The 14,304-nt window shown below is 51.5% G+C and overlaps 1 long non-coding RNA gene across 1 annotated transcript in view, besides 6 other annotated features; it reads left to right on the top strand.

Annotated features, from left to right (window-relative positions):
- LINC01841 (long intergenic non-protein coding RNA 1841) overlaps positions 1-14,304 on the top strand; it is a 58,533-nt gene that overhangs the window by 4,585 nt on the left and 39,644 nt on the right. The gene's annotated exons all lie outside the window — the stretch shown is intronic.
- Positions 3,048-3,097: an enhancer, noted in NCBI's record as "active region_14162". NCBI's record gives its function as "activates an Ori minimal core promoter by ATAC-STARR-seq in GM12878 lymphoblastoid cells {active_cell/tissue: GM12878}" and the evidence as "EXISTENCE:reporter gene assay evidence [ECO:0000049][PMID:35858748]".
- Positions 3,168-3,347: an enhancer, noted in NCBI's record as "active region_14161". NCBI's record gives its function as "activates an Ori minimal core promoter by ATAC-STARR-seq in GM12878 lymphoblastoid cells {active_cell/tissue: GM12878}" and the evidence as "EXISTENCE:reporter gene assay evidence [ECO:0000049][PMID:35858748]".
- Positions 3,408-3,507: an enhancer, noted in NCBI's record as "active region_14160". NCBI's record gives its function as "activates an Ori minimal core promoter by ATAC-STARR-seq in GM12878 lymphoblastoid cells {active_cell/tissue: GM12878}" and the evidence as "EXISTENCE:reporter gene assay evidence [ECO:0000049][PMID:35858748]".
- Positions 8,414-8,913: an enhancer, noted in NCBI's record as "H3K4me1 hESC enhancer chr19:14461305-14461804 (GRCh37/hg19 assembly coordinates)". NCBI's record gives its function as "activates a minimal SCP1, AML or CMV promoter by ChIP-STARR-seq in primed H9 embryonic stem cells {active_cell/tissue: H9 hESC(primed)}" and the evidence as "EXISTENCE:reporter gene assay evidence [ECO:0000049][PMID:30033119]".
- Positions 8,914-9,415: an enhancer, noted in NCBI's record as "H3K4me1 hESC enhancer chr19:14460803-14461304 (GRCh37/hg19 assembly coordinates)". NCBI's record gives its function as "activates a minimal SCP1, AML or CMV promoter by ChIP-STARR-seq in naive H9 embryonic stem cells {active_cell/tissue: H9 hESC(naive)}" and the evidence as "EXISTENCE:reporter gene assay evidence [ECO:0000049][PMID:30033119]".
- Positions 10,214-11,092: an enhancer, noted in NCBI's record as "H3K27ac-H3K4me1 hESC enhancer chr19:14459126-14460004 (GRCh37/hg19 assembly coordinates)". NCBI's record gives its function as "activates a minimal SCP1, AML or CMV promoter by ChIP-STARR-seq in naive H9 embryonic stem cells {active_cell/tissue: H9 hESC(naive)}" and the evidence as "EXISTENCE:reporter gene assay evidence [ECO:0000049][PMID:30033119]".

The following is a 14,304-nucleotide window of genomic DNA, read 5'->3' as shown; positions in this document are numbered from 1 at the left end:
TGGGCTGGGTGCGGTGGCTCAACCCTGTAATCCCAGCACTTTGGGAGGCCGAGGCGGGCGGATCACGAGGTCAGGAGATCGAGACCATCCTGGCTAACATGTGAAACCCCGTCTCTACTAAAAATACAAAAAATGAGCTGGGCGTGGTGGTGGGCGCCTGTAGTCCCAGCTACTCAGGAGGCTGAGGCAGGAGAATGGTGTGAACCCGGGAGGCGGAGGTTGCAGTGAGCCGAGATCGCACCACTGCACTCCACACTCCAGCCTGGGCGACAGAGTGAGACTCTGTCTCAAAAAAAAAAAAAAAAAAAAAAAAAAAAGGAAGAAGCTGAAGCATAAAAGATGATTTAAAGAGTTTACTTGGGGCCAGGTGCGGTGGCTCATGCCTGTAATCCCAATGCTCTGGGAGGCCAAGGCGGGCGGATAACCTGAGGTCGGGAGTTCAAGACCAGCCTGACCAACGTGGAGAAACCCTGTCTCTACTAAAAGTACAAAATTAGCCAGGCGTGGTGGTGCACGCCTGTAGTCCCAGCTACTCAGGAGGCTGAGGCAGGAGAATCGCTTGAACCCGGGAGGCGGAGGTTGCCGTGAGCAGAGATCATGCCACTGCACTCCACTCCAGCCTGGGCAACAAGAGCAAAACTCCGTCTCAAAAAAAAAAAAAAAAAAAGAGTTCACCTGAGGCCAGGCACAGTGGCTCATGCCTGTAATCCCAACACTTTGGAAGGCTGAGGGAGGAGGATCACTTGAGCTCAGAAGTTTGAGACCAGCTTAGGCAACGTGGCAAAACTCCGTCTCTATAAAAAATACAAAAAAATTCTCAGCATCTTGGGAGGCTGAGATGGGCGCATCACTTAAGGCCAGGAGTTCACAACCAGCCTGACCAACATGGCAAAACCTAGTCTCTATTAAAAATACAAAAAAAAAAAAAAAAAAAATAGCTGGGTGTGGTGGTACATGCCTGTAATCCCAGCTACTCTGTAGGCTGAGGCAGGAGGATCACTTGAACCCAGGAGGCGGAGGTTACAGTGAGCTGAGATCGTGCCACTGAATTCCAGCTGGGCAACAGAACGAGAATGTCTCAAACAAACAAAAAATTAATCAGGCAGAGTGGTGCATGCCTGTGGTTCCCAGCTACTTGGGAGGCTGAGGTGGAAGGATCGCTTGAGCCCAGGAGTTCAAGGCTGCAGTGAGCTATGATGGCACCATTGCACTCCAGCCTGTGCGACAGAAATAGACCCTGTCTCAAAAAAAAGAAACCCCAAAACACAACTTAGCCAGGCGTGGCGGTGTCCACTTGTAGTCCTGGTGACTTGGGAGGCTAAAGTGGGAGGATCGCTTGACCCAGGAAGTCGAGGCTGCAGTGAGCTATGATTGCACCACTGCACTCCAGCCTGGGTGACAGAGTGAGACTCCATCTCAAAAATAAAAAATAAATCTTAGCTCTTCTAATAGATGTATGAAGTGGTATCTCCTTGTGGTTTTAATTTGCATTTCTGTAACAACTAATGCTGTTGCGCATCTTTTCATATGCATATTTACCATCGAAATGTCCTCTTTGGCGAAGCATCTGTTCAAATCTTTTGCCCATTTTTAAACTGGGATTTTTTTTCCTTCTTATTGTTGAGTTCCGTATATATTCTTATATAAAGAGTTTTTATTTTAAGAGTTCTTTATATATTCTGGATACACATTCTTTCAGAAAAATGATTTGAAAATATTTCCTCCTAGTTGGCGGCTTGTCTTTTTATTTTCTTTATGTCTTTTGAAGAGCAAAAGTTTTCATTGTGATGAAGTTCAATTCGCTCATTATTTTTTTCTTTTACGGATTGTGGTTTTGGTGACATAGGTAAGAAACCTTTGCCTAATCCATGGTCTCAAAGATTTCTTTTTCTTTTTTTGTCTCCTGAGACGGAGTCTTGCTCTGTCGCCCAGACTGGAGTGCAGTGGTGCAATCTCGGCTCATTGCAACCTCCGCCTCCCCAGTTCAGGTGATTCTCAGGCCTCAGCCTCCAGAGTAGCTGGGATCACAGGCATGAGCCACCACGCCTGGCTACTTTTTAAATATTTTTAGTACAGACGGGGTTTTGCCATGTTGGCCAGGCTGGTCTCAAACTCCTGACCTCAGATGATCCCTCCACCTGAGTCTCCCAAAGTGCTGGGATTACAGGCATGAGCTACTGCGCCTAGTCTCATTTAGTCATTTAGTTACTTTTTGTGTGTGATTATGAGGTAGGGTCTAAGTTCTTTTTTTTTTTTTTTTTTTTGAGACGGAGTCTCGCTCTTGTTGCCCAGGCTGGAGTGCAATGGCACGTGACCTCTGCTCACTGCAACCTCTGCCTCCCGGTTTCAAGTGATTCTCCCTCAGCCTCTCAAGTAGCTGGGATTACAGGCACCTGCCACCACGCCCGGCTAATTTTTTTTTCTTTTTTGAGATGGAGTCTCTGCTCCCATCACGCACAGTGAAGTGCAGTGGCTCAGTCTTGGCTCACTGCAACCTCTGCCTCCCAGGTTCAAGTGATTCTCCTGCCTCAGCCTCCCAAGTAGCTGGGATTACAGGCATGTGCCACCAAGCCTGGCTAATTTTTGTATTTTTAGTAGAGATGGTGTTTCACCATGTTGGCCAGGCTGGTCTCGAACTTCTGACCTCAGGTGATCCACCCACCTCAGCCTCCCAAAGTGCTGGGTTTACAGGCATGAGCCACCATGCCCAGCTGGGTCTAAGTTTTAAATTATTATTATTATTTTTTTACACGTGTATATCCTATTCTTGGGAAAATTTAAAGGGAGTTATTTCTGTTTCTGGTAACGTGCGCGTTCAGTGTGTGCTCCCCTGCCTGTAATTCTCCCATTAGGGTCAGGGCAGGGCTGGAGAAGCGAAAACCATAACTAGAAGAGACTTCCCCAACAGGATGTTGCCCAACCCTGGCCGGGCTGACATTCAGCCTCGAGGGTCCTTATCGGCAGTACAATTGCAGCTGTGACCAAACCCAGCCACCCACAGCCTGACACCCCCAACATCCTTGACCTTCCCTTTAGCTTCGGGCTTGAGCAGGCCTTTGATACTCAAATAGAGAAAGGAGACAGCAAGACCCCTGTGCCTTCTCAGAGGGGGCACCCCCTTCCCCGATGCCTTCACGGGTCCTGCCTCTCCGGGACCCAGCTTCCCTCCTGGCCACCCCACCACCTCCCCAGCCACACCTCATTTCCACCCATCTAGAGAGGGTGAAACACAAACACTCCTGGCAGCCCTGCCCGAGTGTGTCCTGGGACATGGTGGGGTGGGGGCTCCCTGACTCCTGGGAAGGGGAACTCTGGGGTGGCCTGTCCTCCCAGCTCCTCACCCCACTGGTGCCTCGCCCCATGAGTCGTGTGAAAAGGCAACAAAACCAACCGCAGGGAGATATAAAATCTCTTCCTGTATCTGTGACAGCTGTTATGTTGGTCTGGCCGTCTGTTCTTCCTGTGAGCACCTGAATCCGTTCAGACCAAGCTCTTCCTCTCTCCAAGAAGCCTCTATGGCTCCCACCTCACCCAGTAAAATCCAGTCTTCCCCAAGGCCCACAAGGCTTGGCTGTGTGATTTGCCCTGTCACCTCCAGCTCTCTTCCCCTCATTCACTTGGCTCCAGCCACCCCAGCTTCCTCACTGTTCCCCAAATAAATATGCCAGGCCCAGTCCAGCCTCACAGCCTTTGCATGCGCTGTTCCCTCTGCCTGGAACACCTTTCCCCCAGATATTTTTTTATTTTTTTATTATTTTGTGTTTTTGAGACAGAGTCTTGCTCTGTTGCCCAGGCTGGAGTGCAGTGGCGCAACCTCAGCTCACCACAGCCTCTGCCTCCTGGGTTCAAGCCATTCTCCTGCCTCAGCCTCCCGAAAAGCTGGGACTACAAGTGGGCATCACCACGCCCGGCTAATTTTTGTATTTTTAGTAGAGACGGGGTTTCACCATGTTGGCCAGGCTGGTCTCGAACTCCTGACCTCAACTGATCTGCCTGCCTTGGCCTCCCAAAGTGCTGGGATTACAGGCATGAGCCACTGCGCCTGGCCCCTCTCACTCTTTTGTCTGCCTAACATACTTGCTCAGAGGTCACCTCCTCAGTGAGTACTTCCCTGACGACCCCCATATTTGAAATTTTAGCTTCCTTCCCCCAGTCCTTTCTAACCTTTCCCCTCTATTTTATTTTTCTCTATAGCACATCACCTTCTAATATTTTAATTCATGAATTTACATAGAGTGTCAGTCCCATGGGGGCAGGGGTTTTTCTGTCTTGTTCACTGCTGTATCCTCAGCACCTAAAACAGGGCCAGGGACACCACAGGTGCTCAATTAATGTTTCTCAGCCAGGTGCAGTGGCTCAGGGCTGTAATCCCAGCACTTTTGGGAGGCCAAGACGGGCACATCACCTGAGGTCAGGAGTTCGAGACCAGCCTGGCCAACACGGTGAAACCCTGTCTCTACTAAAAATACAAAAATTAGCTGGGTGTGGTGGCGCGTGCCTGTAATCCCAGCTACTAGGGAGGCTGAGGCAGGAGAATTGTGTGAACCCAGGAGGCGGAGGTTGCAGTGAGCTGAGATTGCGCTAGTGCACTCCAGCCTGGGCAACAGAGCGAGACTGTGTCTCAAAAAAATAAATAAATCAAAATAAATAAATAAATAAATGTTTCTTGAATAAATTGTCACTTTTGCCTACACTCTTTGTCTACTGAGGTCTGTAGGGCCATCCCCACCCTCATCAACAGGAGTGGCTCATGGACTCATTCTATCCTTTCTAGCCACTGTGATTGGTTCCTAAATGACATGTGACCCCAAACTGTCCAATCAGAGGGAGCCCAGGAATTATTATTTTCTTCTTTTGAAGCAGGGCTTCACTTTGTCACCCAGGTGTGAGTGCAGTGGCACGATCATGGTTCCACTGCAGCCTCAATTCCCAGGCTCGAGTGATCCTCCCTCCTTATTTTTTAATTTTTTTTTATAGAGATGAGGTTTCACTATGTTGCCCGGGCTGGTCTCAAACTCCTGGGCTCAAGCAAGCCTCCTGCCTTGGCCTCCCAAACTGCTGGGATTACAGGCATGAGCCACCACACCCAGCCAGATTACTTTGTTTGAGCCCGTGAATCCAGCTGTCCCTGAAGCCAACATATCTTAAACTTTTCAATGACACAAACCAATAAATTATCATTATTTTTTCTTTAAGCCAGTTTGGGTTTGGATTTTTTACTTGCAACTAGAATAGTCTTCCCCAATCAACCACCTCTCCCTCCCTCCCTTGCTCACTCTCTTCTTTCTTCTCTCCCTCCCTCCTTCCTCCTTTCTCTCTCTTTTTTTTTTTTTTTTTTCAGGACCAACTCTGGTCCAGGCTGGAGTGCAGTGGCATGATCTTGGCCCACTGCAACCTCTGCCTCCCAGTTCAAGCAATTCTCCTGCCTGAGCCTCCCGAGTAGCTGGGATTACAGGCACCTGCCACCATGCCTGGCTAATTTTTGTATTTTTAGTAGGGACGGAGTTTAGCCATGTTGGCCAGGCTGGTCTCAAACTCCTGACCTCAAGTGATCGGCCCACCTTAGCCTCCAAAAATGCTGACATTGCAGGCGTAAGCCAGCGCGCCTAATTTAATCTCTACTATATCTTGGCAGAGTCACTATGTCCTCCAACACAGCTGAATCAAAACCGTATTTCACCTTTCTGCCAAACAGCTCTCCACCCATCATTCCCTCCTCCGCCTTCCCCTGCCATCCCCTCCCCCACTCTGTGTGGGGGACTCTGCCCAGTATGGGAATGAATTATGGCTCCCCCACTAGAGGGCTGCGTGCCCTCGCTAAGTGACTTCACCTTTCTGGGGCCTCACTTTCCCCATCTATAAAATGAGGTCATAACAGTATACCCATTGTTCCCAAGTCTGCCTCCTCTCTAACCACGCCCTTTTTTTTTTTTTTTTTTTTTGAAACAGAGTCTCGCTCTGTCACCCAGGCTGGAGTGCAGTGGTGCGATCTTTGCTCACTGCAATCTCCACCTCCTGGGTTCATGTGATTCTTGTGTCTCAGCCTCCTGAGTAGCTGGGACTATAGGTGCCCGCCACCATGCCCAGCTAATTTCTTTTTTTCTTTCTTTCTTTCTTTTTTTTTTTTTTTTGAGATGGAGTCTCCCTCTGTGAGGCTGCCAGTGGAGTCCAGGCTGGAGTCCAGTGGCATAATCTAGGCTCACTGCAACCTCTGCCTCCCGGGTTCAAGCGATTCTCCTGCCTCAGCCTCCTGAGTAGCTGGGACTACAGGCGCATGCCACCATGCCCAGCTAATTTTTGTATTTTTAGTAGAGACAGAGTTTCACCACATTGGCTGGGATGGTCTCAAACTCCTGACCTCCTGATCCACCCACCTCGGCCTCCCGCAGTGCTAGGATTACAGGCATGAGCCACCGCGCCCGGCCTCTAATTTTCATATTTTTAGTAGATACGGGCTTTCACCATGTTGCCCGGGCTGGTCTCGAACTCCTGATGTCAAGTGATCTGCCCGCCTTAGCCTCCCAAAGTGCTGGGATTACAGGCGTGAGACACCATGTCAGTCCTCTAACCCCTTCTGACTGACCCATCACTTGAGCCTTGCTCACTTGCCCTGCTCCGGCCCTCTGGCCCCTGCTCCTGGCTCACTTGCCCTGCTCCCCCAAGTCCACTCCTTGGCCATAGAAGAAGGTCTCAACCCACCGGACCCCCACGGCCACCACAGTCAGGTCTGGAACTCTGAGGAGGCTGTTGTCATCACCCCCATTTCACAGATGAGGATACTGGGCCCTGAGTCACCCAGCCAGGATCTAAACAAGGCAATTTACATAAGAGAGGTAAAAGTGTGGCCAGGGGCAGTGGCTCATGCCTGTAATCCCAGCACTTTGGGAGGCAGAGGCAGAAGGATCTCTTGAGGCCGTAAGTTTGAGACCAGTCTGGGTAACATAACAAGACCCCATCGCTGCAAAAAACTATTTTTAAATTATCTAGATGTGGTGGTGCGTGCTTATAGTCCCAGCTACTTTGGAGGATCGCTTGAGGCCAGGAGTTCAAGGCTGTAGTGAGCTATGAGCATACCACTGCACTCCAGCCCGGGCAACAGAGTGAGACCCTGTCTCTGTAAAAACAGAGAGCAAGGGCCGGGCACAGCGGCTCATGCCTGTAATCCCAGCACTTTGGGAGGCCGAGGTGGGCAGATCACTTGAGGTCAAGAGTTCGAGACCAGCCTGGCCAACATGGTGAAACCCCATCTCCACTAAAAATATTAAAAAATTAGCCAGGTGTGGTGGTGTGCGCCTGTAATCCCAGCTACTCGGGAGGCTGAGGCCTGAGAATCATTTGAACCCAGGAGGCACAGGTTGCAGTGAGCCCAGATCATGCCACTGCACTCCAGCCTGGGTGACAGAGTGAGACTCCATCTCAAAAAAAAAAAAAAAAGAGAGAGAGAGAGAGCAAAAGAGAGATAGAAGGCCGGGCGCAGTGGCTCACGCCTGTAATCCCAGCACTTTGGGAGGCCGAGGCAGGCGGATCACGAGGTCAGGAGATGGAGACCATCCTGGCTAATACGGTGAAACCCCGTCTCTACTAAAAATACAAAAAATTAGCCGGGTGTGGTGGCGGGTGCCTGTAGTCCCAGCTACTCAGGAGGCTGAGGCAGGAGAATGGTGTGAACCTGGGAGGAGGGGCTTGCAGTGAGCAGAGATCACGCCACTGCACTCCAGCCTGGGCGACAGAGCGAGACTCCACCTGAAAAAAAAAAAAAAAAAAAAGAAGAAGTGTGATAAGCTGGAGAATTCCCAGGAAGGAGTGGTTCAGGGGAGAGAGGGTGGTCAGGGAAGGCTCCCTGGAGGAGGTGACATTTCAGGACAAAAGCTTCTCAGACACAGCACCATCAGGGGGGAAAGTAAGCCAGGCAGGGGGAACACCAGGGACAAAAGTTCTGAGTTGGGAACCAGTGCGGTGTGTTCAAAGCCCATCAAGGGGGTTAGGAGGAAGGCAGGGAGATGAGGGCTGGGAAGTGGGTGGGCCCTAATTCTTACATTACTACAAACCCAGGCAGAGGAGCAACAAGCTAGATGAGCTGCAGATGAGTGATGTCTTCTCGGTGCCCACCAGGATTTCATCTCCGAGGGCAGCCTTTATTCCCTGCTCACTCTGCCTGGCTCATCGCAGCCCTGGCCCCATTTAACAAGTGAGGAAACTGAGACTCCAGGCAGCATTCCCATGCCTGAAACCATCAGCTCCAGCTTCCCCAGGCCCTGCTACCCTCTAGGTGGCACAGAATTCTAGGAGCCCTTGGCTTACCTGGGAGGTTGACTTGGGGTCCTTAAGACCAACCCATGGCCACCTCTTCCAGGAAGTCTTCCTGCCTTGAGCTGGCTGGGAACCTCTCTCCTCTGAATCCCGCTCTTGCTTGCGGCAGGCCCGGCAAGTGTGTTCTCTGAGGGGAGACTGGTGGTTTCCGATCCTCCGGACCCCACCCAGCCCATCGTGCCCCTCCTTGCAGGGAAATTAGAAAAAGCAAAAGGGAGGAGGCACTTCTGGAAGGGAAAATATTTTGATTCTCTGAAGGCACAAAAATTGCCTGATTCCTGAACAATTAGGGGTAATTAACCCTTCACAAGGTAGTAATTAAGTCGGTGCCTCTGAAGCCTTAATTACAAGCTCCAAGAGGCTCTGCCCTCTCCCCAATAGCCAGGCAGTCCCCAGAACTGAGGCCAGGCTGTGGAGAGAGGGTGTACCCCTTCTGCACTGGCGGGGAGTCGGGGACAGGGCTCTGCTCCCCTTCTGTGGCTGCGCAAGACCCACAGCCTCTCTCGTGGCCACCCCCAGGCAGGGATCCCAAGAGCAATGTTCATGAAACCAGATCTCCTCCCTGCATAGTCCCTTTTGGGGTTGTCAGGCCACATGGGGAGACTGCTCTCGGGAGTATGAAGGCAAAGGGGGCAGGCCGGGCTGAGGTCCGTGTGTGGGGCTGGCAACTTTTTTTTTTTTTTTTTGAGGCGGAGTCTCACTCTTTCACCCAGGCTGGAGTGCAGTGGCACAATCTCAGCTCACTGCAACCTCTGCCCCCCAAGTTCAAGTGATTCTCCTGCCTCAGCCTCCCGAGTAGCTGGAATTACAGGTGCCTGCCACAACGCCCGGTTAATTTTTGTATTTTTAGTAGAGACGGGGTTTCACCATATTGGCCAGGCTAGTCTCAAACTCCTGACCTCAGGCAATCCGCCCACCTCGGCCTCCCAAAGTGCTGGGATTACAGGCATGAGCCACCGCGCCTGGCCAAGCATTGGTCTTGGAAGGCACATTGCATGGTTCCCTGTGTCTCCCAGGGAGATGGGCAGGGGGTAAGAAGGGGACTTTGCAAGCAGAGCCGACCACGTGCACCTTAACTGCATAATTGGGGTCAATATGGTCAGAGGCAAAGTCCTGGGAGAGTGGTGGGGTGGGTAGGGGGACAGTGCATGGGCCAGGGCTTCTTTCTGTGGGCGACACCATATCTGTGGGTGGGCGACGAGAAGGGTGCAGCTGGTGGTGTTGGAGGGCTTTTAGCTCAGTGTGAGCCTTCTTCTCCCCTCGGGCTTTTAGGAGGTGACTCCTCAGGGGGAGTGAGAGATCAGATTTGTCTCCAAAATAGGCCTTGACATCGCAGCCCACCTGTTTCTTCATCTCTCGGCTCTGGCTACTGTGACCTCCTTTCCCACTGTTCAACACCCGAGCTCCTTTCTGCCACAGGGCCTTTGCGCTGGCTGCGCCTTCTACTGGAAATCCTGGCTCCAGACTCGGCATGGCTGGGGCTTTATTCTTCTCAGGCCTCAGGATAAGCGTCACTTCCTCAGAGCCCACTCCACCCACTCTACCCACAGCAGGTGCTTCAGTGACATCCCTGTATATACTTTCTCCTTCAGAACACTTACTGCACTTACTGCCATCAGCAATGATCTTGCAGCCTGTTGTCCTCTTCCTCCTCTCTTCTCTCTTCCCTTGGACTGTAAGCTCCAGAAGGGCATGGAGGTTTATCTGTTTTGTTTCCATTTTTTTTCTTTTTTTTGAGATGGAGTCTTGCTCTGTCGCCCAGGCTGGAGTGCAGTGACACGATCTCTGCTCACTGCAACCTCCGTCTCCTGGGTTCAAGTAATTCTCCTGCCTCAGCCTCCTGAGTAGCTGGGATTACAGGCGCCCGCCACCACGCCTGGCTAATTTTTGTATTTTTAGTAGAGAGGGGGTTTCACCATGTCGGTCAGGCTGGTATCGAACTGCTGACCTCGTGATCCGCACGCCTTGGCCTCCCAAAGTGCTGGAATTACAGGCGTGAGCCACCGTGCCTGGCCGAGCCACTGTACCTGGCCTCTTTTTACTTTTAGAGACAGGGTATCGCTGTGTTTCTCAGACTGGAGTGCAATGGTGCCATCATGACTCACAGCAGCCTCCATCTTCTGGGCTCAAGTGATCCTCCCACCTCAGCCTCCTGAGTGGCTGGGGTTACAGGCCTGAGCCAGCCCCATTCTGTCTTCTGTGTACTCTAAACCTAGAGCAATGATCTAGGTTTGCTCAATACACACAGTAGGTGCTCAATAAATGTTGCATGAATGCATGGACGACGAGTTCTAGCTGGGAAATGGCAGCCGGGAAAAGTGGGTTGTGGAGGAGAATTTAAGAGATGAGAGCTGTTTCCGAAACTCCTGGAGGGCCCGAGGTCCCCCGGGTTGGGGAGAAACGGGGGCGACCGTCCACCTCCCCGGGAGTCGCACGCACCTCCCCTTGGAGGCCCACAGGTGGCGCTCGCTCCCCGCGCTGCAGTGGCGGGAAGCGGAGGTGGAAAAACCCGAGCTTTAGCCCCGTCCCGGGTCTGGCTGCTGGGGTCAGTTCCTGGCCCGGATTTGGACGCCAGTCCCTGGGATCCTGCTTGGGGTCCTACCTCGTGGTAGAGGGGCTTTTTGGTCAAACGAGGGGGATCTGAGAAGAGTGGGGGTGGTGGGCTGCAGAGTCCGGGCAGCTGAGGGCTCCCTCCATCTGTCCACGCGTGCTCTGATTCCATTCCCAAAACTAGTTCAGCAGCTCCATGCCTGGGGGAGGGGGAGACGCACTTACCATGTTCGTGTTCTTCCTTAACTTTATATAGGTTAGAGCTGGGCGCAGCGCTTGGTGTCAGTGGGTCTTGGGTGCACATTTGTGGAATGGTGAATGGGTGAATCCCCGTTTTACAGATGGGGAAACTGAGGCTCAGGGAGGCGATGCGGCTCACCCAGGTTCATAGAGCCAGAAAATGGCAAGGCTGGGATTGGAGACACCAGGCCTGTGTGAGTCCAGAGTCAGCCCATTTTGTTTGTTTGTTTGTTTGAGACACGGTTTTGCTCTGTCACTCAGGCTGGAGTGCAGTGGCAGGATCTTGGCTCAGTGCAACCTCTGCCTCCTGGGTTCAAGCCATCTCCTGCCTCAGACTCCCGAGTAGCTGGGATTACAGGCACGCGCCACCACGCCCAGCTAATTTTTTGTATTTTTAGTAGAGACAGGGTTTCACCACGTTGACCAGGCTGGTGTGAAACTCCTGACCTCAAGTGATCTGCCCGCCTCAGCTTCCTAAAGTGCTGGGATTACAGGCGTGATGCTTGGCCAAGAGTCAGCCAATGTTTAAAAAACAATGTATGTTTAAAAAACATTGTATTTGGCTGGGCGTCATGGCTCACGCCTATAATCCCAGCACTTTGGGAGGCTGAGGCGGGTGAATTACTGGAGGTCAGGATTTCAAGACCAGCCTGGCCAACATGGCGAAACCCCGTCTCTACTAAAAATACAAAACTAGCTGGGCGTGGTGGCATGCGCCTGTAATCCCGGTTACTCGGGAGGCTGAGGCAGGAGACTCCTTTGAACCCGGGAGGCAGAGGTTGCAGTGAGCTGAGGTCACGCCATTGCACTCCAGCCTGGGCAAAAAGAGCGAAACTTCGTCTCAAAAGAACAAACAAACAACAACAACAACAAAAATTGTATTTTATTTATTGCAGAGACGAGAAGTCTTGCCATGTTGCCCGGGTTGGTCTCCAACTCTTGGGCTCAAGACATCCTCCTGCTTCAGGCTCCCTCAGTGCTGAGATTTCAGGTGAGCACTACCTCGCCCAGCCTAAAAACATTTTTCAATAGATTTTCTAGTTACCCAAAGTGATACAGGATTCCCTCTGGGAAGCTAAAGCCCTTCCTGTCCCTCCTTATCTCAATTCCGAGATGATGGTGGGGAGGGTCTCCTTTCATCCTACCCTCTTTGCCTTCAAAAGCATGTCTACACATGCCTAAGGGGTCTCTGGGTTTCTAGCTGGGTCATAAACTTCTCCTGTCTGGGCTGGGCACAGTGGCTCATGCCAATAATCCCAGCACTTTGGGAGGACAAGGTGGGAGGATCACTTAAGATCAGGAGTTCGAGACCAGCCTGGTCAACATGGAGTGACCCTGTCTCTACTAAAAATACAAAAATTAGCTGGGTGTGGTGGCACGCGCCTGTAGCTACTTGGGAGACTGAGGCATGAGAATCGTTTGAACCCAGGAGGCAGAGGTTGCAGTGAGCTGAGATGGTGCCACTGCACTCCAGCCTGGGCAACAGAGCAAGACTCCATCTCAAAAAACAAAAACAAAAACACAACAACAAAACACTTACCCTGTCTGGGCCTCAGTTGCCTCGTCTCTAAAATGGTTTTAATGGTCATTGAACCACTTTCCAGGGTGTCTGTGAGTTGCACAAAAAGCTGGTCTGGGCAGGGCCCCACATCTGGGTGGAATTGGGGGTCTCCTCTGCTGGTTTATACATCTTGGTAGGAAAACACACCAGGTGTGGATGATCCTGCTGTTTCCTTAGTTCAAGGACTTGGTGCACAGTGGGTATGTGTGGTCTAATGCTGCCGGTGCACCCACTGTGTCTGCATTTGAATAATGTGCGTGCACTGAGCTGTTTCCACGTGGGGCCCAGTGGCTTCCCGTAGACCAGGGTTTCTCAATGTCAGCACTCTTGACATTTGGGGCCACATCATTTTTTGCTCTGGGGAACTGTTCTGTGCCTTGTAGGATTTTTTTTTTTTTGCAGGGGAGATGAGGTCTTGCTATGTTGCCCAGGCTGGCCTTGGACTCATGGCCTCAAGTGATCCTCGTGCCTTGACTTCCCGAAGTGCTGGGATCACAGGCCTTAGCCACCTTGCCCAGTCCCTTGTAGGACATTGAGCGTCCCTGAACTGGACCCACTAAATGCCAGGAGTACCCCTGCCCCCATTTTTTTTTTTTTTTTTTTTTTTTGAGATGGAGTCTCACTCTGTCGCCCAGGCTGGAGTGAGGTGGAATGATCTTGGCTCACTGCAACCTCTGCCTCCCAGGTTCAAGTGATTCCCCCACCTCAGCCTCTCGAGTAGCTGGGATTACAGGCACTAACCACCACACCTGGCTAATTTTTGTATTTTTAGTAGAGATGGAGTTTTCCCCATATTGGCCACGCTGGTCTTGAACTCCTCACCTCAAGTGATCCGCCCACTTTGGTCTCCCAAAGTGCTGGGGTTACAAGTGTAAGTCACTGTGTCTGGCCCCCTGCCCCAATTTTACAGCCAGAAATACCTTCAGACATTGCCAAATGTCTCCTGGGTGACAGAGTTACCCTCATTGAGACCCATTGCTGTGTATACTTCTGGGAGGTACACATACAGGTCAGAAACAGACCCTGATAGAGGGTTGGAGGGCAAGTGGTTTATTTGGGAAATGAACACAGGAAACCTGGGGAGGGGAGAAGAGAGATGACAAGGGATATCAAACAGGTTGTCACTACGGAAAACTGGGGCCTGATCCCTCCAGGGGTCTCTGGGAGACTGTGGATTAGGCATATGCTGGGGAGGGAGCTGGGGTATTTATCCACCAACTCATTCCATTTCTGGCTCAGGGCTACTCCCAGGGATGTCAATTTCCCACACTCTGTCTCCTGTTCAAGTACACTGAAGTGATCAGGTCCCAGATGTGGCCAGGGTCCAGCGGGACATCTCTGCAGCGGTTTCTGTTCCTTTTTGTGCGAGCCCACCCGGGCTTTTGGTCTCTTCGGGCTGTGCGAGCCCACCCGGATGTCTGCAGCCGGCTGTGTGTATATTTGGTGTGCCAGTGTGTGTTTATCTGCCATGCATGTGTTTGCGTCTGTATTTATCTGGCACAAGTGTGCTTGTCTTTGTTTTCCCTTCTGCTCCATCTCCACGAATGTGGGGGAAACTTCTGTTTTTAATCAGGGGCCAGGGAACTGTCTTACTGCCACATTAGCAACTGTGTTATTAATGAGGCCGATCGGAAGTGATTTTT

The sequence above is a fragment of the Homo sapiens genome, chromosome 19 (assembly GCF_000001405.40).
Source record: "Homo sapiens chromosome 19, GRCh38.p14 Primary Assembly".
Lineage (NCBI taxonomy): Eukaryota > Metazoa > Chordata > Mammalia > Primates > Hominidae > Homo > Homo sapiens.
Note: the sequence above shows the minus strand (reverse complement) of the source record. Positions and strands in the feature narration are given on the sequence as shown.